Source organism: Homo sapiens, chromosome 5 (assembly GCF_000001405.40).
Source record: "Homo sapiens chromosome 5, GRCh38.p14 Primary Assembly".
Lineage (NCBI taxonomy): Eukaryota > Metazoa > Chordata > Mammalia > Primates > Hominidae > Homo > Homo sapiens.
This window is the reverse complement of record NC_000005.10, coordinates 160,346,273-160,371,311: the sequence shown is the minus strand read 5'-3', so window position 1 is coordinate 160,371,311 and position 25,039 is coordinate 160,346,273. Positions and strand designations below refer to the sequence as shown.

At 47.2% G+C, this 25,039-nt stretch overlaps 1 protein-coding gene across 7 annotated transcripts; it reads left to right on the top strand.

Moving 5' to 3' along the window:
• The first annotated feature begins 685 nt into the window (after positions 1-685).
• Positions 686-23,558, top strand: C1QTNF2 (C1q and TNF related 2). Of its 7 annotated transcripts, none has more exons than XM_011534426.4 (5): positions 686-800; positions 15,969-16,085; positions 16,292-16,544; positions 21,531-21,548; positions 21,753-22,320. In XM_011534426.4, exons 2-5 carry the CDS (start codon positions 16,041-16,043, stop codon positions 22,142-22,144), a joined length of 708 nt encoding a protein of 235 aa, XP_011532728.2. In that variant the 5' UTR covers positions 686-800; positions 15,969-16,040; the 3' UTR covers positions 22,145-22,320. The 7 variants fall into 7 exon arrangements, with proteins under 7 accessions (XP_011532728.2, XP_011532729.2, XP_011532727.2 ...); XM_011534427.3 differs by having other exon boundaries at positions 21,436-21,548; XM_011534425.3 differs by having other exon boundaries at positions 21,531-23,558.
• Positions 23,559-25,039: the final 1,481 nt, after the last annotated feature.

Here is a 25,039-nt window from a genome sequence, read left to right as displayed (position 1 = left end):
GTGAGTGAGACCAGTGAATCCTCACCTTCTGGGGAGAAGAGAAATGAGAGCTGGTACACAGGGGAACTCACCCACACTAGTGTGTATGTGCACACTCACATCCGGACAAAATCCACACCAAGGCATGCATAGAAATCAACACATAGAATGAGCCACTGCACAGTCATACACACATTTAAACATACACCCCACATACAGATGTCAAACCAACACACAGAATGAGCCCCTGCACAGTCACACACACATTTAAACATGCACCCCACATACAGATGTCTAGCCACTATCGTGTACATCCAACCACTGATGTGCCCTCCAGTTTTACACCAAGCTGCCATCTTGGACATGTGCATGCATGTGTACATACACCGAACAGCCCTGATGAAAATTTGGATAAACGCACGTACGCACACACACAACTAAACACATCCCTATGATTTATCATCACACTCAAGTACATGCACACCTTTGCAAACGCGTGGGAAACAATCACTCTGATCACTCTGGCGCACAAAACCTCCAAATACGCTAACAAGCTCTACAAACGCAGAGATGCATCGACACACCCGAGTTGTCATCAGCACTGCAAGTTTTTTCCAAACAGCTGCTAAAAAGAGAATGCTGCGCTGCGGGCCAGCCCACGTGACCGGGAGGAAGGCTCTCCCGCCCATGACGGGATGGGAAAACTATGCCTGGGGCCGACGCTCTGCCCGGCTGCTGCCGCTGAGGAAAGCCGGGACGCGGAGCCCCGCCGAGAGCTTCTTTGCTCCGGACGCCCCTGGACGTGGCGGGCAGCCGCGAGGGTGAGTGTCCCGCACCGCGGTCGGGCGGGGGCGGCAAGTGCGCGCGGGGAGGAGGAGGAGGAGGACTCGCACTGCTGCGGGCGGGGCGGGATGCGGAAGGTGGGAGAGCTGCCAGCGCGCCTTTATTGCGGGCTGGGCAGCTCCTGCATTCCTGCCTCTCGACTTCTACCTTCGTATTATAATACAAATTAACATGTTTTGAGTCCTTACTGTGTGCCAGGCTCTGTGCCCAGTGGTTTACCCGTTACAATAGTAACACCCGTAGCTCTGCCATTTATTGAGCGCCTACTTTGTGCCAAGTCCTGCTAGCACTTTACTTGTGCTCTTTCATTTTCATGACAACAGATTATCCCCGTCTACAAAAGAGGAACTGGGCTCAGAGACATTAATGACTTGGACAGGGTTGCACAGCTAGTAATTGATAAAAAAGGGACTTGAAGTCTGGTAAATCTGAGTCCAATACCCGAGCTAACAATCACAGTTAACATTTACTGAATGCATTATTTCACTTAACCTTCACATTTATTTAAATATATGATACAGACTGGCAAACTGAGCTCAAAAGGTATTGAACGGCAGGCAGAGATTTGTACTCAATGCCTCATGACTCTCTTCACTCTCCTTCCCCACCTAAACTACTTGTCTTAATATGCTTTGTCCTTATTTCTCCATCCCCACTGCTGCTGCCCCATTCTAGGACCTCGCTTTTCAGCTAAATAATTGCAGTGGGCCCTAATAGTCTCCCAGCCCAGGTCTCTCCTCTGACACCATGAGTCCCTTGCATTACCTCATTGTGATCCTCCTCTGCTCCTTGACCACAAAATTGCCCTGCTTGGAAGCCTGCAGAGGTCCCTTCCTTAGACTGGCCATCTCTCAGAGACCCTGTGTTTCCACCATGCTGAAGTAGCAGTAATAGAAAGACAATGTCTTACATAGGTCAATCCAAGGCTGGTGCTCAGTTAGCACTGTTAAAAATCTGTCCTCTCACATCCTTATTTTTGCCCTCCCTCTGCACCATTCTCTAATTTATTCTGTCATCTGGAGTAATTATATCAATTACTCCTGCTTTCAACTGCCCGATCCTCAAACTCTCCACACATTTCCAAGCATCACTACAGCCCTTCATTGTAACACATCAGATTCACTGCAGAATTTGTTTCCTCCCAAATGTCTGACTTCTCCCCATCTCCTAGCAGGGATACCACACTTACCAGTCTTCCAATCCTTAAACCTTAGGTTTACCTTTTGTTTTAAATGTTATAAAAGTAACGACGCTCATCACAAGAAATTCGAACAGTTCAAAAAGGTAGAAAGAGAAAAGTAAAAGCCCACACACCCCCTCCCAATTCTGAAAGGTAACCCCTTAACAAGATTGTGTCTTTTCGGAAAGTATTTCCCCAACCCTTCTGTACATATATATACTCTGTATTTGTGCTGTTTTTTTTTTTTTTAAACTCAAAGAGAAGCATACTTTACATTCCATGGTACAACTTGCTTTTTTCACTTAACAGTGTGTCTTCGCCATGTTTTCATATCTGCATATACAGGCTTACTTTGTTCTTCTAATGGGCATAGTGTGTCATTGTATGGATGAACTGAGATTATTTTTCACAAGGCTGGAGTCACGTTTGAAGCCACTCTGTCTCCATTGAATGTTCAGCAAGTTCTCCAAGGTGTCACTTTTTTCCTCTGCAAATCTCCCTATTCCTCCCCCCTGTCTCGCTATTCCTTCTCTTATGCTGACCCTGCTGATCAGACAGTCTCTCCTGCTGTCTCAATCACTGATGCTTCCTACTCCTAAATGTTCACTGTGGGGTAACAGAGTCTCTCTCCACACCCACAGCTTCACCCACTCCTTCTTCCTGGTCAAAGGCCTGCCAACCTTAATTTACCTCTGTGAGATGAACTCTTGCATAAATCAAACTTCTGTTAGTTATATTCCATTTTAGCTTCTCTTTTTTTTCTTTTTTCTTTTTTTTTGAGAAGGAGTCTCGCTCTGTTGCCCAGGCTGGAGTACAGTGGCACAATCTCGGCTCACTGCAATCTCCGCCTCCTGGGTTCAAGCAATTCTTCTGCCTCAGCCTCCCCAGTAGCTGGGACTACAGGCGCACACCACCTCACCCAGCTAATTTTTGTATTTTTAGTAGAGACGGGGTTTCACCATATTGGCCGGGCTGGTCTCAAACTCCTGATCTTGTGATCCGCCCGCCTCGGCCTCCCAAAGCGCTGGGATTACAGGCATGAGCCACCGCGCCCAGCCCATTCTAGCTTTTCTTTTGAAAGGAATTATGTGCCAAATATTTTTTCAAGCAAATAACCTTCCCCTGGATTTGTTCACTTCTGTTAAGTGGCTTACTCCTATAACACACATACACATGCGCATACACATCACTGCCCTGTTAGTAACTCCCCTGTTAGCTGAGGGGCCATGGTGGAGGAACATGAGCTCTGGGCCCTGAGCCAGCAGGCCTGAGTTCCACCCAAACATTGACCTAGGAAAAGTAATTTTTCCCTTTTCTGAGCTCTGTTTTCTCTTCTGCCAAGTGGAGATGACAGTATCAGCCTCTTAGAAGTGTGGGGAGATTTAAAGGAGATATGAACATCAAAACTTTGAAATAAGAACACACAACATACATGGAGAATCATTACTCTTTTCCTCTAGATTAGGGGTTGCAAACCCAGATACTGACAGAGACTGTGCACAATGTATATAGGAATGGGATGCATGACATTTGGGAGTGGTGAGGACTGTGGACACTGTAGAACACAGGCTCTCTGTCCTAGTCAGCGTGGGGCACCGTGACAACACCACAGACTGGGGAGCTGCAACAATAGACATTTATTTCTCACGATCCCTAGAGGCTGGAAGCCCATCATCAAGGTATCTGCAGTGTTGGTTTCTTCTGAGTCCTCTCTCTGTGGCTTGCAGGTGGCCATCATCTGCTGTGTCTTCACATGGTTGTCACTCTGTATGTGTCTGTGTCCTGATCTCCTCTTAATGTAACGACACCACTCATACTGGATTAGGGCCTACCCATATGACTCATATTACCTTGGTTACCGTTTTTAAGGTCCTATCTCTAAATACAGTCCCATTCTGATAATCTAAGAGTTAGGACTTCAATGTGTGAATTCTGGGGAGACACAAGTCAGCCTGTAATACCTTGTCTCAAGGGGCAGCTACCTGTTGACCTGCCCAAATGCAGGCTCAGTGCTGCCCAGATCCTTCTGCTGCCCAAGAAAAGCTGCAAACGTCGATGTTAACAGAAAATCTCCCAAGTTTTACATTGGCAACAATTTCAAATTAAAAACCCAAAACAAAAAGTACAGAGTAGTCTGTGATCTGTGTGAGGCCACTGATAAGCCAACTGATCCCTGCTTGTCTAGGCTATAATTTCCTCAGTGGCAGGGGCATGTTCCATAGCTTTTTAATCCTCCTCAGCCAGTCTCTGCACGTTGTTTATTCTTTTTCTTTTTTTTTTTTTTTTTTGACAATGTCTTGCTCTGTTGCCCAGATTGAAGTGCAGCGGCACAATCTCTGTTCACTGCAGCCTCTGCCTCCTGGACTCAAGCAATTCTCCCCACTCAGCCCCCCAAGTAATTGGGACTACAGGCATGCACCACCACGCCCGGCTAATTTTTGTAGTTTTTGTAGAGATGAGGTTTTGCCATATTGTCCAGGCTGGTCTCGAACTCCTAGGCTCAGGCACTCCACCTGCTTTGGCCTCCAAAAGTGCTGGGATTATAGGTGTGAGCCGCCGCACTCAGCCTGCACATTGTAATATTAACAAAAAGTTAAAAGCTAATCACTGAATGACTAAATTTGAATTTTACAATCTTGTGTAAAGTAGGGCACACCTGTAGAAATCCTGTACCTCTTTGCATTTATGCCCAGCTATACAATTGCATCAGCCATTATAACTGCTTTCATTGCCATTGATGCCAAAGTTTGCAAATGTTCAGCTCCTCACGGGGTCACTGTTACGGCCACTTTACAGATGGGGAAACAGCAGACCCAGGTCTATCCAGGTTTACCCAGGTCTGCTTGTTTATTCTCATGAGTGTGGCAACCTTCTCCCATGACATCATCTTTCTCTTTGTTCTCAGGAATGATTATTGTATCAAAAATCACTACTGTTACTGAGTGCTTACTGTGGGCTGGTTGCTGCATTATCTCATTAAATATTCACAATTACTCTGTAAGGGAGGTGTGAGCAGTCAAATTACTCAAGGGAGGCATTCCTAAAGACCTCAAATAATTCAAAACTGGTATCATTAAAAGCTCACGGGCCGAATGGAAAACCAAACATTGTATGTTCTCACTCATAAGTGAGAGCTAAGCTATGAGGATGCAAAGGCATAAGAATGACACAATGGACTTTGGGGACTCAAGGGGAAAGGGTGAAAGGGAGCAATGGATGAAAGACTACAAATAGGGCACAGTGTGTACCGCTCGGGTGATGGGTGCACCAAAATCTCACAAATCACCACTAAAGAACTCACTCATGTAACCAAACACCACCTGTTCCCCAATAATCTATGGAAATTAAAAAATTTTTTAAAAAAGCTCACCTGCTGAAGAATGGTAGATATTTCTGATTACCTGTTAGGACAGTGCTGTTATGTGGCTATAGCATAAATACAGTTTACAATTTACAATTCACACTGCCTTACAAGATTTTTGACAACTTTTAACTTGGGAAAATTGGGGTTATTTCAGATTTCACACATCAAGTGAAACAATGAATATTCAAATTCAAATAAGACCATACAGTATTATTTTTCTCATTTTACAGACAAAGAAACTGAGGCCTAGAGAGATTAAATAACTTGGCCCAAGGTCAAACAGCTGGAAAACAACTTAACCACCAGACCAGCTCGTGCTTCTCTAGGGGTAGACCTGTATCTGATTTTTTTTTCTTTGTAGAGATGGCGGGGTGAGGTGGGGGGAGGTCTCACTTTGTTGCCCAGAGGGTCTCACTTTGTTGGCCAGACTGGTCTCGAACTCCTGTCTTCAGGTGATCCCCCCACCTCAGCCTCCCAAAGTGCTAGGATTATAGATGTGAGACATTGTGCCCGGCCCTGTATCAGAAGTTTAGGGTTACTCCGAACGCCCATCAAGGCCTGACCAGAAATGACTCCATGGAAGTTCTTGGGTTCACCCAGAAAAGTCAAGGAAAACTTAGCCTTTTCTCCCTGTCCCCTTCAAAGTTCAGATTCTGTTTCTCTCCCTCAGTTCTTAGATCTTCAAGTGTAGTCCCTTTTATGTCATTCCCAGGGATTGTTGCCTAATCCCAAAATTTCCTTCCCCTGCCGCCTGCCTGGTCTTGAATGCTGTTATGTCTAGATGCTGTTAGGTGCCTATTACAAAGGAAAAGGAGAGTGAGGCTTTTCTTTCCCGGTTACACAGGTGTGCCAGCTGGATGCTCAGGTAAGCAGACAGTTATAACCTGCCCAGGTAGTTCTAGGGATCAGAGTGGGCCCTACAGGAGCAGCAACTACATCTTTTCACCTCTAATTCCCCAGTGTCTGGCCTCAAAGGCAGTAATAATAAACCATACTATTTATTGGGTATCCATGTGCCAGGCTACAGTATCATGCACACATGCACACCTCATATCCCATTTGGCCCTGTCGCTTGATGAGATGAGCACCATCCCGCTTCTTCCCTGGTCTTTGTATTATGGAGCACAGACACGCCAGGTGGCTCAAAGTTGTGGAGCCAAGGCAACACCCCATCCTTCCCTCAGAGCAGAAACAGCAAGGCAGGAAAAAAGGCCCAGCCTCCCTAGGACTTTTTTTTGGTAGCACCTGACAGAGCCATCACTCAAAGTGATAAGTGAAAATGGGAATTTATGAGAAGCTACAGGAGTCTCTACCTGAAATGCATGCAGGACTCAGGGTGGCAGATCAGGACTGGTTTTTGTTAGTTCAACTGCAGTTAGTGGCAATTACAATTTTAAACAAGGTCTTAAAACTCGTATCATTACATTCAACATCCATTATCTTGTTTGATTTTCGGAAGGGCAAGAAATAATAAAATAATAGAAGCTAATGCTTTTATACCTCTTGCCATATGCCAGGCCTTATTCTAGAAACATTAAATCCTCGTAACAACTGTCTAAGGTAGGTTCTATTATTATCGTGTTCATGTTGGAGAGGAGGAGACTGAAGGGGAGAGATTAAGTAACGTGTAAAGGTACTACAGCTAGTTCATGGCATCTGAACTCACACAGCTATGCTGGAGCTATTATGGAAGCCACCATGCGGCTATTGGAGACTTGGAATGCTCCAGTCTGAATTGAGATCCGCTGCAAGTGTGAAATACATCACTGGGCTTCAAAGACTTAGTACTAACTTAAGAATGTAAAATGTCTCATTAATAATTTTTATGGTGATTACATGTTGAAATGATGATATTTGGGAAATCAAGGGCTAAATAGCATTGAAATTAATTTCACCTGTTTCTTTTTTACTTTTTTAATGTGACTACAAGACAAACTGACACATGTGACTTGCGTCATTTTCCTATTGGGCTGAGCTGCTCACACCCACTCCCCCACCGCTGTGGTCAGGCACGTGGAGACTGGCCCTGAGGATGCGATATGGGGATATGAACACCCTCAGCCGCCTTCTCTACCCCTCACATCTCGCACAGCTGCTGCATTCTTCTCTCCCATGGCAGTCCTTGGTCTCCACGTGGCAGAAAACAGCTGCAGACAATGCCAAAGCTTGATGGCTTTGTCTTCAGCCGCTCCAGAGCCTGACTCTTGCCCTTATTGTGCAGAGGAGGCAGCTGAGGCTCAGACGTGCAGCAGGCCAGGGCCCAGGGGGTGGGCTCCACTGCCCACCACGTTATACACCACATTTGTCATTTTGTAAAGGCTGGGCTTGTATATATTAGAAGGTATAATTCTTCAGCTTTAACATACAGGCTGATTTCCTGTGTGCTTTCAGGAATTCTTGCTGAGACAAACCCCTGGCTTCTGAGACCTTGTTAGATCATGATGTGTCCTTGGATCTCATTTTCTAGGCTGAACCAGAAATGAGGAGAGAGAAAATAGCAGATCAAATATTTTCTGAGGCATCCTGTCAAGTGGGCCCCAGGACTTTTAAGCCTCTGTATTTAGACTCTGGATTCTGGACAGTTTCCAAAAGGACACTGATCTTGAGATCTGGAGAGAGGGGACATTTCGTGAGTACTGTGAGGAGCGGCAGCCAGCCGCTTTTTCCTCCAAAGGATCTCTTTAGCTTTTCAGAGAAGCTGGAGAGGACTGTTTCCAATTTACTTCCTGGAATTCAGGGAGGGCGTGGAGTGTTTTTTATTATAGTATTCTATTCTCCCATCAAAGTGGATTTTCAGCAAGCTTCATCTGCAAGCAAACCTTGTCCCTTTTAACACCAAACACAGGGAGAATTGCCCTGCTGGGTGAGATTTGGGTGTCCTCCTCCACCAAGGATGAGGCCTCCCCTGAAACACTCCTGGGGCTCCCAGTGGGAGTTCAGGACTGTGATCCCTTAGTTCAATTGCAACTAGTAACAATTACAATTTTAAATACGACTCTAATTTTGTATCACGTTTTGTTTTCAAATCCACTATCTTATTTGATTCTCTGAATAACCCTGTAAGGCAGACTGGGCAAATGTTAATATCTCCATTTTACAGGTGAGGAAATGAAGGCCCAGATAAGATGAACTGACTTTCACAGTCACGCGATCAGTAAGTTACAAAACTAGGACTGGGACCCCAGTCTTCAGAATCCAAGCCCAGTCATTGCACTGGGTTTTCCTCAGTAGCCAAGTGAGGCTTTGTCATCCGCACGTTTATTGAGACCCTTGAGATCCCCTTGTTTTATAAATTATAATAATACCGGTGGGCTGGGGAGGTCCTCAAACGCCAGTGGGACCTCGACCCCAGCCAGTGTCCAGGCGCTTGACACCATCTCAAGAAGGAATTCAAGGATGAGTCAGAAAATTGTGAAAGTATGGTGATTTTTTGCAAGGGAAAACAGTACACACTCAGGAGAGGGGGCTGTGGGCATTCTCAAGAGAGAGTTGGGCAGAAGTGTTTGGGGTTTCTATCTTTATGGGTTTCTTTAACCAAGAGGTGGAATATTCATGAAAATTCCTGGAAAAAGGTGGAGATTTCCCGGAACTGTGGTGCCACTCATTTCTACACCAAATATGGGTGTTCTCGGAGCTGTCGTGGCACTGGTGGGTGTGTGATTGAGTACATGAATCAGCGTATAAAGAGGTCCTAGGTGAAACCTAGATCAAATCCATCAACATGTTGGGTCCAGTGGGTCTTAGCCAGCTTGGTCCACACCCTGTTTTTCAGGGTCTTATCGGTCTATATAGCCTCTAATCATGTCAAATTGCTGCCTGGGATTTTTCTCCTATGACCACCCTGGATTATTCCAGTCTCCGTAAGGGCGGCCAGTTCATTCAAGGTTATTCAACAGCTGCGTGTTGAGCACTTACTCTATGCAGTGCTGCGCTAGGCTCCAGCAGCCCAGCTGAGAGCAACATGCAGGGCCCATACGTTCCTGGACCTTCCATTCCAGGGAAAGAGCCAGAGAGTTAACAAGTCAAGAAACAAACAAATACATAATCACAAATTGGGCCAGGTGCCTTGAAAGAACAGGATGGGATAAGAGCATATGCAGGATGGGTGCAATGCTTTGGATCACGTGATCAGGGCAGGTCTCTCTGAGGAGATGATATGAGACCTGAGACTTGAAGGATGAGGCTGGCAGCTACCTGAGGGCTTCCCAGAGGAGGTTAAGGACTGGGGGCATTTTAGGCACAGTTCTTTCCAACCGTGGAGCGTTTACAGTGTCAAACACTGGGCTAAATAGAATCTTTGAATGCATTCCTTCACTCATTTCTCACACAAACTCCCTGAGGTAGGTATACTATTATTTTCATTGCATAGTTGAGGGAATCAAGTGCTGGGTGTTCCATGGCTCTTAACCACGGAGTTAAATGCCACTCCTATCTGTCAGTGTGTCAAAACCTGATAACCAACAGGCCAGATTTATTTGAGCATAATTTACATCTTCCAATCTGCAACGGGAGACTGTTCAGCACCCAGGCCTAGTAGGCTTGCTCAAGACAAGTATTCCTGGAGCTTCTACTACTAGCAGACACATTCAGGAAGGATCAATGAGAGGCCCACGTCCCCACTTTTGGCACCTCTCACATCACAGTCTGGGCAGAGGGCCCTTGGGAATAAACCAGAGGGCCATGTCCTGTGGGCCAGGAGGAAGACTTCCCTGACAGTAGACCCAGCCTGTGGCACTTTAGCTCCTAGCGCTTTTCTAGAACATGTGTATTGATGAATCATTAGCTACTTAACAGAGAGATGAGAAGCCCAGGGACTGGGCAGCTGAAAGCCAGACTTAAGAACTCATCCAAGTTCAGCCAGCTACAGTGGCTCACACCTGTAATCCCAGCACTTTGAGGCGAGGCAGGTGGATAACGAGGTCAGGAGTTCGAGACCAGCCTGGCCAGCATGATGAAACCCCGTCTCTACTAAAAATACAAAAAATTAGCCGGGCATGGTGGTGCGCACCTGTAGTCCCAGCTACTCAGGGGGCTGAGGCAGGAGAATTGCTTGAACCCAGCAGATGGAGGTTGCAGTGAGCTGAGATTGCGCCACTGCACTCCAGCCTGGCAGCAGAGCGAGACTCCATCTCAAAAAAAAAAAAAAAAAGAACTCATCCAAGTTTATCAACCCACAATTCCATTTCTGGGGTTTAACCAACTAATATTTTTTATCCCTTTAGTAGGAAGGCTCTAATGAAGGCTTCCATATTAAACTAACACCTTCCCACCCCCAGAAAGGACAATTTAGGAACTCAGATTGTTTTTTTACAGGTGAGAAAGGACTAATACTTACCTCTCTTCTGGTTAATTGGACAGCTCTCTATGGAGCACCTACTCTATCTAAGGCATTCTGCAAGGCTGGCCCCACCCTAGGGGCCAGAGAGGGAACAACCTAGCCCCTATACTGTAAGGGGTCAAAAGCAAGGAGGGATTTGATCTGATTCGGGTTAGAAAAGCAGAGGAAAAAAGAACAGATTTGTATCAAGGGGTGTCAGTGCTCTCTCTTCTGGATTTCAGCCACTGTCTGGTTTTCTCTTCGCTGTGGATTTTCTTGAGGGCAGAGTCTGCGTCTCCAACACTTACTAATTAAGCAAATATTTCTTGAACATTCACTGTGTGTGAGGAAGTTTGAAGCCAGGTGGCCAGCTGGGGTCCTGTACTCATGGAGCTTACATTTTAGTGGAGACACATGGGGGAGGCAACCAAGTAAAGTGAATATGGGTGAGTGGTTTCAAGTGCTGGAAAAGAAACAAAGAGCTGGGAAAAGGGAGCTTGCAGAAAGCGGGCGCTGGCTGAGAGGGCACATCAGGGAATGCCTGGAGGAAGTGACATTTAAACTGAAATACAGCAGATAAAGAGCCAGCAAACCAAGAGGGTGGAGCCGTGAGGTTACTGGTGGAGTGGCTGGTGCCTTGGGGCTGAATGGAGCTTGGCCTAGAAAAGGTAGGGGGGGTGGGTGCTGGGCCAGAGGAGCCGAGGGAGCCAGGGAGGAGCTGAGGCTGGGGCAGGGGCTAGAGCCAGCTCAACTGGGGCATTGTAAGCCATGGCCTGGGTTCTGATGTTTGCTATTTTAAGCCAGCACCTATTGGAGGGTCTTGGGGAGTGACACCCTGATCTTTTGGTTCAGGCCTTGGAAACTCCCCCATTAACACACCAGAGGGGCTTATGGTGGGGACCCAGGGCCCAGGAGGCTGTCCCCTCCACGCCTCTCATCACCTTGTCTAATCCAAGTGTGGGCCTCTCAAAGGACAGGAGGTTTTGCTCAAGCATTGATTTACTCCAGCACCCCAAGAGAGAGAAAAAGCATCACTTGTACGTTTTCAAAGTCATGTACTGTGTGTGTAAAAATTGTAAAATAAAATACAGGGCATCAGAGAGATTTCTCTATGGCTGTGTGTGGTTTTGGCATATGCTTCAAGGTCTTTTCTGTAATGTGGAATATTTAGGGGGAAAAATATAAGAAATGCTGACATAATGGAAAGCATTTGGGTACTAGGATCAGCCAAACCCAAGTTCAAATATAACTTCTGCCACTAACTACTTGTGTAAACATAAGTAAATTAGCCTCTCCAAGTTTCAATGTCTTTTATAAAATGGGGGGAAAATAGCAGGGGCAGGAAGCAAGGTGGCATGGATTAAGCATAGTTTTCAGAGGCACACAGACATGGGTTTGGATGCCATCTCCATTAATCCCTGATTGTGTGACTCTGGGTAAATAACTTCACTTCTTGGAGTATCTGTTTTTTCCTCTGAAAAAAAAAATGGGACAATAAGGGCTCAGGTAAGCTTCATAGGGCTCTAGTAAGCTTTGTATAAAACAATGCAGCAGGCTGGATGCGGTGGCTCACGCCTGTAATCTCAGCACTTTGGGAGGCTGAAACGGGTAGATCGCTGGACTGGAGTTTGAGACCAGCGGATGACATGGCAAGACCCCATCTCTACAAAAAATACAAAAATTAGCTGGGCATGGTGGCACGCTCCTATAGTCCCAGCTTCTCGGGAGGCTGAGGAGGGAGAAACACTTGAGTCCGAGAGGTGGAGGTTGCAGTGAGCCGAGATCACGCCACTGCACTCCAGCCTGGGCGACAAAGTGAGATAAAAAAAGCAATGTAGATACAGGGCTTCACACAGTGCCTGGAACATTGTAGGTGCGTAATAAGGTCAGTTTGCTTCTGCCTTGGTTTCCCCATCTGTAACTGAAGAGGTTGGATTAGATGGTTCCTTGAGGCCCTCCCCAAGTTCTTGATTCTAAATGTATTTAAAAGGTGCTAGCTGAGAGTGGTGGCACACTCCTGTAGGTCCACCTACTTGGGACAGAAGGCTGAGGCAGGAGGATCACTTGAGCCCAAGAGTTCAAGGCTGTAGTAAGCTCTTGCACCACGCACTCCAGCCTGGGCAACAGAGCAAGACCCCCATCCCTAAAAAGAAAAAAAAAAATTAAAGAAAGGCCCTGGAAGAGTTAATCTGCCTGGATTCCTTGGGGCTTTAGTGCCCCTCTAAGCACCCTGCCCCCCAGGCTTTCTCGACACCCTTGTGTAGAGAGTGGGGTGAGGGTGGGGCAGGGCACAAGCTGGGAGCAGGGCTATTTGTAGCCTTGTTTTTCTTGGAGGTGTTGTGGAGGCAAGGAGACTCTCCTCTCCCTCCCTTCCTCTAGGTTTGGAACTAGAATCTAGTCTCCCCGCCTTTATTTCCAAAACAGTTCCTGGCTCTAGCTCCCAAGACTCCTCTGGGACTCCAGGAGCTTCAGGCTCCAGTTCAGAAAACGCTTCCTCCCTGTGTGTCTCAGACACACACCCTTCCACCCAGGCACTGGGGCCTGCCCCAAACCAGCTTTCGCAGACAGGCATTCCCTCTTTGTCCAGAGAAGCTGGTGCAAGGCCATTGTGGGCAAGAGAGCAAATCCGCCTTCCTCTTGTGGAGCCTGTGTGGCTGGGCATGGAGGTCAGAAGAGAGAGGGGAGTTGTCAGCTGTGACAGATGGTTCCCTTTCTCTCCCTCTCTCTCGTCCGGCTGGCTCTCTTTTCTGCCTGTCTCTCTCCCTCTCTCTCGTCCGGCTGGCTCTCTTTTCTGCCAGTCTCTCTCCCTCTCTCTCGTCCGGCTGGCTCTCTTTTCTGCCAGTCTCTCTCCCTCTCTCTCGTCCGGCTGGCTCTCTTTTCTGCCTGTCTTCAGCTAGCTGTTTGCAGGATTCTCATCTGCCTCGAAGACTCGCTTCCACTTACTCCCTCCTTCTCTCCCTACTGCAAAATGGTTGTAGACTGCAACTTTCCAAATCATTTCGAACCTGCTTTAAAAATTCAGTTTCTATTCTGGGGGTCCCAGATGTGCTGCAGCTCACAAATAAGGCCAACCAGTTTTCCAAGACTCTCCTAACGTAGACAGGGAAAGAAATGGTGATTCACAGGGCCTGGGGAGTGTCTAGGCCATAGTTTTCCAAAAGCACCTGTCATTCATGTAACATTTCCATGATGTTTGCCGTACCTGCCTACCATCTCTACTATTATTTATCCAACCTAGGTTGAGCAAGTGTGACATCAGAAATACAATCAAACTGCATCCTTATTTTTGCCTACCCCTCCCTACTTATAATTTAGTCAGTGAGGGGAGCTCCTCCTCCCCCTGGTTGAAGTCTCCACTCCCAGGCAACCCACACCTCAATTTCCATTCGAAGGTGAGATTTCTTCCTGCTCCCCCAGTGAAGGTGTGAAACGGGCAAGGCCATCTGCTCCCCTTGTCAGCTCACCTGTTTCCAAGTTGAAGGGAGGGGAGGTACAGGGACAGGAGGAGGATTTCTAGATGTTTCACGACTGGGGCGGGCCTAGACTGCTCTGTGTCTCTGTGCCTGGCAGACATTTAAAGCTGTCTTTTCCATGGGGGCCTTTTGCAGGCTCTTTGGGAGTAACCATTTTGGGCCCTGTGATTGTCACACTGCTGGGATGTGGGCAATGAACATTTTCCTTTCTCTGCAAGTCTAGGCCTTCCCCTCAGCATCTGTTTCCAGGGTTAAAGATCCTGGAGGGGGCAGGAGGAGAGGTATGGTCAGCCTGTTTCTGAGGGGAACAGCCAGAGGCAGCCGAAAAGCCTGGACAGGCTCCAAGAGCCAGGGGCCAAGCAGAGTCTGAAGGGAAAGGGGATTGAAAGCCCAGAAGGAAAAATGAGTTCCAAAGGTCAATGCCTGAGTAATGCCCCTGCTGTGCAACCAGGACCACAGCTGCCGAGGATCCCCCTAATACTTAAACGCTCTGATTGGATAGCCACAGGCTGAGTGAGGACTACAAAGCCCACAGTGCTTTGTATCTGGAAAGAGAACAGATTGAAGTCTGAAAGGCTCAGCATTGGAGCTAGAAGAGACCCTAGAGACCATCTACTCTAGTGGTTCCCAAAACAAGGTCTCTGGACCACCATCAGCAGCATCCCTTGGAAACTTATTAGAAATGCAAATGGTCCAGCTTCACCCCAGAACTAATGAATCAGAAACTTTGGGGATAAGGCCCAACAACCTGTGTGCTAACAAGCCCTCGAGGTGAGTGTGATGCGCACTGAAGTTTAGGAACCACTGCTCTAGCCCAGCCCCTGTTGTTCAGGTGAGGAAACTGAGGCCCAGAGAGGGAAAAGGGTTTGCCTAAGGTCACAAAGCAAGTTGCCATTTTATAGTTAATCGCCATGGCAGGAAGTCATGCCTGGGATGTTCCCCCTCCTGGTTTCATTCTTGAGAGAGAGGCTGTTAATTACAAAGCAAAGGAACTGATTTGTTGAGAGATCTTGGGCAAGTTGCTTATTTCTGCTCTGGGTCTCAGTTTCTGCGTATGCATAGTGAGGGCAGGGAGTAGATACCTCCAGGTGCATAGCACACTGATCTCCAGTGGGATCGTGCTATTGCTGCCATCAGCCTTAAGGACACGGTCTAGCCTGGGACAGGAGGGCACAGGCTCTGGATCTGGACAGCCTGGTTCAAACCTTAGCCCTGCCATCTACTCATCGCATGATGTAGACCAGGAGTGTCCAATCTTTTGGCTTCCCTGTGCCACATTGGAAGAAGAATTGTCTTGGGCCACACATAAAATACACTAACGATAGGTGATGAGCTTAAAAAAAAATCGCAAGAAATATCTCATGATGTTTTAAGAAAGTTTACAAAACTTGTGTTGGGCTGCATTCAAAGCCATCCTGGGGTGCATGCGGCCCACAGGCCCCGGGTTGGAAAAGCGTGATGTAGACACATTGCTCAACTTCTCTGAGCCTCCGCTTCTTCTCCTGTATCTATTCTATAAGGGTATTGTGAAGATCAAGTAATGAATGGAAAGCTCTTAGCACATGCCTGGCGCACAGGAAGCGCTTGGGGGAGGAGCTGCTACCACGGCCTGCCAGGGTCACTCAGGTGATGGTTGACCTCCACTCAGTAACTGAATCCTCAGCCCTCCTCATGTGCAACCCTGAGTCTCCCATGAGAAGCAGACTAGTTGCAAAGTCACCTACAATTCAAACATTACCCTTGTAGAACTGTAACTTTCTATTCATGCCACAGATTTGGATGAAACCATGGATCATTTCTCTCCATTCACAGCTCCTCCCAGTCATCAGTCTCTGGGTCATAAGTTCTGCATCCATTTCAGCCACTCTGGAAGATGATGGTCTGATGATGAATGCCTCACCCCCGAGACCCCTTCGAAGTGTATTCTGGGTAATGACTCCACTCACCCAAATATGTCCTCAAGATATGACGACTCTGTCCACATCACATCTACTTGTATGTGATGCAGGAAAGAGCAAGAGACAGAAATCCAACTGAGTGTATCCCAGCTGCCTCCTCCTGTGCATCCCCTCTGACCAGCCCCAGGTCAGCTTGGTGGCCACACTCACCTGTCACAGCTCTCTTGCCTCCCACAGGTAACCACCATGATCCCCTGGGTGCTCCTGGCCTGTGCCCTCCCCTGTGCTGCTGACCCACTGCTTGGCGCCTTTGCTCGCAGGGACTTCCGGAAAGGCTCCCCTCAACTGGTCTGCAGCCTGCCTGGCCCCCAGGGCCCACCCGGCCCCCCAGGAGCCCCAGGGCCCTCAGGAATGATGGGACGAATGGGCTTTCCTGGCAAAGACGGCCAAGATGGACACGACGGCGACCGGGGGGACAGCGGAGAGGAAGGTAAGAGGCCTATACGTGCCACTCTCGTTCCCACCTGGCTGACAGCATCCGGCATGTGGGGGGCATCATGAAGTTAATAAAACTAGTATTAATCCTCTTCATTATAAATCAAATTACTATTTACTTATAAATCTATATATATATATATATATATATATATATATATATACTTTTTTTTTTTTTCCCCTTGAGACAGAGGCTTGCTCTGTCGCCCAGGCTGGTGTGCAGTGACATGATCTCAGCTCACTGCAACCTCTGCCTCCTGGGATCAAGCAATTCTCCTGCCTCAGCCTCCTGAGTAGCTGGAATTACAGATGCATGCCACCATTCCTGGCTAATTTTTGTATTTTTTAGTAGAGAGGGGGTTTCACCATGTTGGCCAGGCTGGTCTCAAACTCCTGACCTCAAGTGATCCATCTACCTCGCCCTTCCAAAGTGCTGGGATTACAGGCATGGGCCACTGTGCCCGGCCTCAGAGCAGTTTATTCTGAAAGGAACATGGGTATTGAATTTTGTGTTCCTGCCCCCGGTGCACCTTTGGGTTGCTAAGTGACTTTGGAAAAGTCTCCCAAAATATTACTGAGAACTCTTGATAATTGCAAGTGACAGAAACTCAATTTATAGTCCCAAATGGAATGTATTAGCCCATAAAACTGAGACATCAGGCCAGGCGCGGTGGCTCACACCTGTAATCTCAGCACTTGGGAGGCCGAGGTGGACAGATCACTTGAGGCCAGGAGTTCAAGACTAGCCAGGCCAACATGGCAAAACCCCATCTCTACTAAAAATACAAAAAATTAGCCAGGTCTGGTGGTGTATGCCTGTAATCCCAGCTACTCTGGAGGCTGAGGTAGGAGAATTGCTTGAACCCAGGAGGCAGAGGTTGGAGTGAGTTGAGATCGTGCCACTGCACTCCAGCCTGGGAAACAGAGCAGGACAGTGTCTCAAAAAAAAAAAAAAAAAAAAAAAAAAAAAAAAAGCCTGAGAAGTCCAAGAGCCAAGCTCCAGGAATAGCTGAGTCCAGGAGCTCAAATATCATTGTCACGGCTCTGCTTCTCTCTGTGTTTGTTGTATCCTCACAAAGGCTAGAAGTTCTGAAATAGCACTGCTGGGCTCCGGCCCACATCTTCCTGGCTTCATCCACAGAGCAAATCTCAGAACAGCCAATTCTCCTTGGCCACATGCGTATCCTGGACCAATTCCCTTGACCAAGGAGGTGAGGTGCCTCCATTTGCAGGGCAGGCTCATGGACCCACCCCTGCGTGTGTGTGAGTGGGTGGTGGGGGCAGTCAGTCATTGTGACTGACAGCCCCGCTAGGACCGTATGAAATGAAATGGTGAAGGGCAACTCCCCAAAGGAAGGGATGCCAGGCAGACGGCGAGCAGAATGGATATACTCTACAGACCTTTCCGTTGTGACATTCCTTATATCTCCAAACTTTCACCCCAGCAACCAAGCACTTTTCAGTGTCAGCAGCATCCCTAAGCCTACATTTTAAGCAGTAGAGAAATATAATAATTTTTATTTGTATGGCATTTTAATATTGACAAAGCACTTTTGAACATGTTGCCCATCTGACCATCCATATCGTGTGCCGGAGGGATTCTTATTTTCCCCATGTTACAGATGAGGATACTGAGAGTCAGAGTGATTCAGTTGATAGCAAAATGTCATCCTCGCAAGAACGTGAACTTTGGAAACAAACCTGGACACTGATTTTGACAAACTACTTAACTTCTCTCCAAACCATGGTTTCCTCATCTCTAAAATATGGATAATAATAGCACCTGTCTCACAAGGTTGTGGTAAAGATGAAATAAAACAATGTATGAAGGACCAGTCTCAGCATAGACATACAATAAATGTTAGGCACCCTGTAATTGACTTATTGAGCTCACATAGCATGCAGATAGCTGACTCCAAATCCAGGTCTTTTCCTACCACACCAAACTAATTCCTTCAAAGGTACCTCCTCCCCAGGAGATTAGTATAAAAGTAACTATCATAGCTTTAACTGGGGTGGGTCTTCCAGCGTGCTGGGCACTGGTATCATGATATCCAATTTCCTGACCACGGCGGCAGACTCAGGTCTGGACATGTGCTCCAAGCAGGCCAGCTAGAGTTTTCCCTGAGATTTGCCTATGGATCCTGAGGGACAGAGTCTCTGCTGTTGACTTCCCCAAATAGATAAAGCTTACCAGGAAGTTCTACCATGTACTGGGGCTGCCTTTGGCCATCTGTTCTGCTGTGTGTTGAGTCTCTGCAGAGAAGGAAGCCACCACACCAAGGAAGGCAGTGTTGGGAGAGTCCCAGCGCATGTAACTCAAACAAAGCTTGTCACCCTGGGGCCAATTCAGGATAACATCCAACCACCCGCCATCACCACACATACAAATTCACCTCCAGAAAAGTCTTTCAAGAGTAAAGTCAGCTTTTCCCAAAGTCTCTCAAAAAAGGTAAAGAAGAGGAAAGCACATTATATAATACATGGTAGGACCTCCTGGTAAGCTTTTTTATCTATTTGTCTCCCGCCAAAAACCCCAAGTCAAAATGACTTGGAGGCTGCGTGGTGGCTCATGCCTGTAATTTCAGCAGTTTGGGAGGCCAAGGCAAGAGTACTGGGAGGCCAGGAGTTTGAGACCAGACTGGGCAACATAGGGAGACACCATTTCTACAAAAAATTTTAAAATTAACTAAGTGTGGTGGTGTGTGCCTGAAGTCCCAGCTACTCAGGAGGCTGAGGCAGGAAGATTACTCAAGCCCAAGAGTTTGAGGTTACAGTGAGCTATGATCGCGCCACTGCACTCCAGCCTGCGTAACAGCGTGAGACTCTATCTTTAAAAAAAAAAAAAAAAAGATTCTGTCTCTATTCCTCTTCTCTTGGCCCCTTTTCCCACCTTTTGTTTATTTTCATTTTTTCAAGAAATAGCTTTGTGACTTTTCTGAGTTTTATTTTTTCCCATTCTTTTTGTTTATTTTTAATTATATGAGTAATATACAAATACAGTCTCATTGTAATATATTCAAACAATACACATAAAGCAAAAGTCCTCCTTACTTACTACCCCTTCTCATCCTTCCCTCACCCTCCAGAGGTAACCACTATTAATTGGTTAGGTATGTATCTTTCCTGGCCTTTTTCTATATATTTACATATGTATTTAATAATACCAGGCATTGTCAGGCACTTAACATAAGCACTCTGTTCCTGAAAATCAAGTGTTCAGTAACAAAATGCAATTTGGAAACCTATTTCCGAATTATGTAAAATAGGAAAAATTCAGATGCATTACAGATTAACTCAAAACTCTAAAACACAGTGAAATGCCTACATACAAATGTATAAGAAACAAAGTAACTTGTTAGGATGTAAAATGCCTAAAACTTTACTTCCTTGACCCAGTTCATATGGTTCTAACAACCTTGTGTCGAGTGAACTCAAGTCATTATCCATATAGGTTTTGCTTAAAATGTTGTATTGAGTTGAGGGGACATAAACTAAATTGATTTTATGCAATCAGTAGCCAAAAATGTTGGATTGAGAGAAATGTGCATTTTATGAAACATTGGAGTATGAAACATCAAAAAGCCTTCTAAAGGAAAACACAACTGGGGGAATTGTTCTGCAGGGAATGCCAGCTAGTATTTAGGAATGTTTGCTATAGGCCAAGCACTCTTCTATGCGTTTAAATGGGTGTAGAAATATTTAGCACTGTGGGCCAGGTGTGGTGGCTCACGCCTGTAATCCCAGCACTTTGGGAGGCCGAGGTGGGCAGATCACGAGGTCAGGAGTTTAAGACCATCCTGGCTAACACGGTGAAACCCCATCTCTACTAAATATACAAAAAATTAGCCGGGCGTGGTGGCAGGTGCCTGTAGTCCCAGCTACTCAGGAGGCTGAGGCAGAAGAATGGTGTGAACCTGGGAGGCGGAGCTTGCAGTGAGCGGAGATCGCGCCACTGTGCTCCAGCCTGGGCGACAGAGCAAGATTCCGTCTCAAAAAAAAAAAAAAAAAATTGGCATTGTGGATTCCATTCCTTTTGTTTTTCTAATTTTTATTTTTTAGAGACAAGGTCTTACTCTGTTGCCCAGGCTGGAATGCAGTGACACAATCATAGCTCACTGTAACCTGGAACTCGTGGGCTCAAGGGATCCTGTCACCTCAGCCTCCCAAGTAGATGGGGCTAAAGGCATATGCCACCATGCCTGACTAATTTTTGTATTTTTTGTAGAGACTGTCTGGCTACATTGCCCAGGCTGGTCTCAAACTCCTGGCCTCAAGCAATCCTCCAGTCCCAGCTTCCCAAAGTGCTGGGATTATAGACGCGAGCCACCTTGCCCGGCCTGCCTTCCTTTTAACACAAAGGGTCTGGCCACCTGCTCTTTCCTCTTAGTGTATGTTAGAGAAGGTTTCATAGAGCACACGTAACTCTACTTTTTTTTTTAACTCCTGCATAGAAATCCACAGTATAGATGGACCGTAATGTTTTTTATCATTTGCCTTTGGATGGGCATTTAGTTGTTCCTATTTTTTGCTATTATAAGCAATGCTGCAATAAAATCCTTGTACACGTGGGCAGGGCTTATATGCACTAGGCAGGGATTTTACTAAGATCAACGTGTTGAAATCAAGAGGCTTTTTCCAGTTCTCTTCTCAACCCATTACCAGCGCAGCCCATGGAAGGATTGAGCTGGCAGACAGACCAGACCCTTCCTTAGAAGGCAGGAAAAGGAAAGGGTGTGAACTGTTACAAGTTATTCTTTTTGCCCTGATCCACAGTGATTCTTGAAGGTAAGTATCATCATTTCCATTTTCCAGAGAGCTAGCATTAGGATTTACACCCACTTCTATATGTCTGCAAAGCCTTCTTGTTCTTTCTATTACCCAAGCACTCCTTCTCCAAGATTGGAAGACCAAGCCGCACCGCACCCCTCTGCCTAGGTCTGTGAGGACCCTCCATAACACCAGCTGCTCTGTCTTCCAGGTCCACCTGGCCGGACAGGTAACCGGGGAAAGCCAGGACCAAAGGGCAAAGCCGGGGCCATTGGGCGGGCTGGCCCCCGTGGCCCCAAGGGGGTCAACGGTACCCCCGGGAAGCATGGCACACCAGGCAAGAAGGGGCCCAAGGGCAAGAAGGGGGAGCCAGGCCTCCCAGGCCCCTGCAGCTGTGGCAGTGGCCATACCAAGTCAGCTTTCTCGGTGGCAGTGACCAAGAGCTACCCACGGGAGCGGCTGCCCATCAAGTTTGACAAGATTCTGATGAACGAGGGTGGCCACTACAATGCTTCCAGCGGCAAGTTCGTCTGCGGCGTGCCTGGGATCTACTACTTCACCTACGACATCACGCTGGCCAACAAGCACCTGGCCATCGGCCTGGTGCACAACGGCCAGTACCGCATCCGGACCTTTGATGCCAACACCGGCAACCACGATGTGGCCTCAGGCTCCACCATCCTGGCTCTCAAGCAGGGTGACGAAGTTTGGCTGCAGATCTTCTACTCAGAGCAGAACGGGCTCTTCTATGACCCTTACTGGACAGACAGCCTCTTTACGGGCTTCCTAATCTATGCCGACCAGGATGACCCCAACGAGGTATAGACATGCCACGGCGGTCCTCCAGGCAGGGAACAAGCTTCTGGACTTGGGCTTACAGAGCAAGACCCCACAACTGTAGGCTGGGGGTGGGGGGTCGAGTGAGCGGTTCTAGCCTCAGGCTCACCTCCTCTGCCTCTTTTTTTCCCCTTCATTAAATCCAAACCTTTTTATTCATCCAACCATCTATTTATTCACTTCTTTTTAAAGTATCTACTGTGTAACAGGCACTATGCTATTCTCTGAAAGATGCAGCAGTGGACAAGACAGAGTATCTGTCCTCATGCAGCTTACATTCTAGCAGGAGATACAATTTACAAATATACAAGCAAATAATATAATATTATGCCAGGATAGAAATGAACATGCCATGGTTGACAGTAATAGGAATAACAGGAGACAGGGAAGAGGTGGAAATTTGTTTCTTTTTTTAAGTTTGCGTTTTTAGGTTTACTTACATACAGTGACTCTCCAGATTTTAAGTTGACAACTCAGTGAATAATTTTTGCTTATGTGCACACTCTGAAACCTCCATGTAGATCAAAGAACAAGCTATTTCCAACTTCTCACCTCCCTTCCCCAAAAGCTCTCTTAAGACCCCTCTAAGTCAGTACCTGGAAAATTTCCATTTTTGAGCTGAGTTCCAAAGAAGGAAATAGAGCAACACAAAGGCCTCGAAAAGAGGTCTCCAGCAAAAGGCTCTGCAAGTGCAAAGACCTTGACAGGAAAGAGGGAGGGGCCAAGGTAAGAACTGAGAAGGGAGGCATGAGGCGTGAGGCTGGAAGATAATACAGAATGTCCCAGGCCATGGCAGAGCTCGTTCCATTCACGAAGGCTTATCAGAATACAAAGTGACACTGATAGGCGGATCATCTTGAATCTGCTCATTGCATGAGTCAAGTCGGCCACAGACTTGAGCGCTTTATTATTAGTTAATCTTTTGCAGGCCCGCTTCTCAATGAATGAGATACACCAGGATATGCACGTGCATCTGAGAACCGCTGCTCTGAGATGGCAGGAATGGATCCCACGCAAATGAATCGCACCCCAAGCACAGGTGTTGCCAGTATGCAGGGATCTGGGGGCTTAAGAAGCTGCAGTAAAAGTGCCAGGTGCTGGCGGGATGTGGTAGCTCATGCCTATAATCCCAGGACTTTGGGAAGCTGAGGTGGACGGATCATTTGAGGTCAGGAGTTCAAGACCAGCCTGACCAACATGGCAAAACATCGTCTAAAAAAATACAAAAATTAGACAGGCGTGGTGTTGGGTGCCTGTAATCCCAGCTACTGGGGAGGCTGAGGCGGGAGAATCGCTTGAACCCAGGAGGTGGAGGTTGCAGTTAGCTGAGATCCTGCCACTGCACTCCAGCCTGGGCAACAGAGTGAGACTATCTCAAAAAAAAACAAAAAAAAAAAAAAAACAAAAACAAAAACGCAGGTACTGAGAGACCCATGAAACGATTTGCTGGAGATAATTTTCAGTTGGAGCTGCAGCTCCCTAGCAGCTTTCTCTGGCTGCCCGCCTAGTGAGATCCTCAGGGACAAGGATAGCTGCACGGGATAGTTCCAGAAGGAGTGGCCATCTCCATAAATAAAATCGGGTTTATTTAAAATAACTCCATTGTCTCTGGGCCATAAATGGTTTGGGATTGGGGTGGGTCTGAAACATTCAGGAAAGGCTTTCTGGCCCAATCAGATTGACGTGTGGGTTGGGGTCCCCTGCAGCACCCCTGTGGGAAGGGGTCAGCTTTGGTCAGTGAACAGTTCTTTTTACCTTTTCTTTTTCTTACAAAAATAAATTTTAGGAGAGCCTTTCGCTTCTTCCTCTTCCTTCCCTCAGGGATATAGGCATTTGAAGGCATTTGACTTAACCCTTTGTAGCCCAGGTAATAAATCCAAACTCAGCAAGATGGGCTGGACCCCAGAGCTCTGTGGTTGCCACTTTTTGGCCCATATTGAACCGATGTCCCCTTGGCATCTACCAGGGACTCCTCAGGGAGAGTGTGGGAATGATGGGGGAAGACTCGTCACTCTTTTGTAGAGCGTGGGGCAGATGATAGCAGAGACCTTCCAGGGCCCAGGGCTGGGGTCTTGTCTTCCTTGGATGTGGTCTAGCGTTGCTCCAGATGGTGGGTTTGTGGCAGGTGGGGCAGAAGCAGATGATGCAGTTGAGGCGGGTCTCTGGTAGAGAGTGATGTCAAAGATGAGCACTCCTTTTATCCCCTGACTCTTCTGAGGATGGCTGCCTCCTTGGTGAGCCACTTGGAGGTCTCAGGCTGATCATGCGGGATGGTGGCCCAGATGAGGAAGGGGATCCAAGGCGGTGGCCTTCCCAGATGCACTGGGCCCCAGCCCTTCTTCCTAGCTTCGGCTGATTACTGTGGGCTTCAGCAACCAGGGCCTACCTGTAGGTCTCCACATTTGTAAGCACCACAGAACCCAGTGCATCTTTGTGCACTCAAATCGCCCTTGATCCAGGGGTATTTTCTCATTCAGAACACACTTTGAAAGGCGGCCATTCCCCTTCTGGAGAAAGCCTGGAGAATCTACAGTGCCCTTAATTACAGTGCAAAGAGCACTAGACACACAAGGCCCTCACAGGCCAGCGCAACCCTGGGTGGAGCCTCAGGGTTCAGCTGACAAATGATGAGGGTCTTACTCCCTATGTCTAGGGGGGCTTCGTGGGCTGACTTCTGCATCAGGACTATGATGAGGGTGGGGGAGCGAAATTGAGGCACTCACGTCATGCACAAAATGTAAGAGGGTGACAAAAACCACAGTAATCAATAGAAATATATATATTTTTGAGACAGAGTCTTGTTCTGTCACCGAGGCTGGAGTGCAGTGGCACGATCACAGCTCACTGCAGCCTCGACCTCCTGGGCTCAAGTGATCCTCCCAC

Bases quoted from the DNA above. Each gene is read 5' to 3' on its own strand.
- C1QTNF2 (XM_011534425.3), top strand. From the start codon at position 16,041: ATGATGAATGCCTCACCCCCGAGACCCCTTCGAAGTGTATTCTGG. The intron at 16,086-16,291 runs GTAATGACTCCA...TGCCTCCCACAG, and splicing joins CCCTTCGAAGTGTATTCTGG to GTAACCACCATGATCCCCTG. The intron at 16,545-21,530 runs GTAAGAGGCCTA...TCTGTCTTCCAG, and splicing joins GGGGGACAGCGGAGAGGAAG to GTCCACCTGGCCGGACAGGT.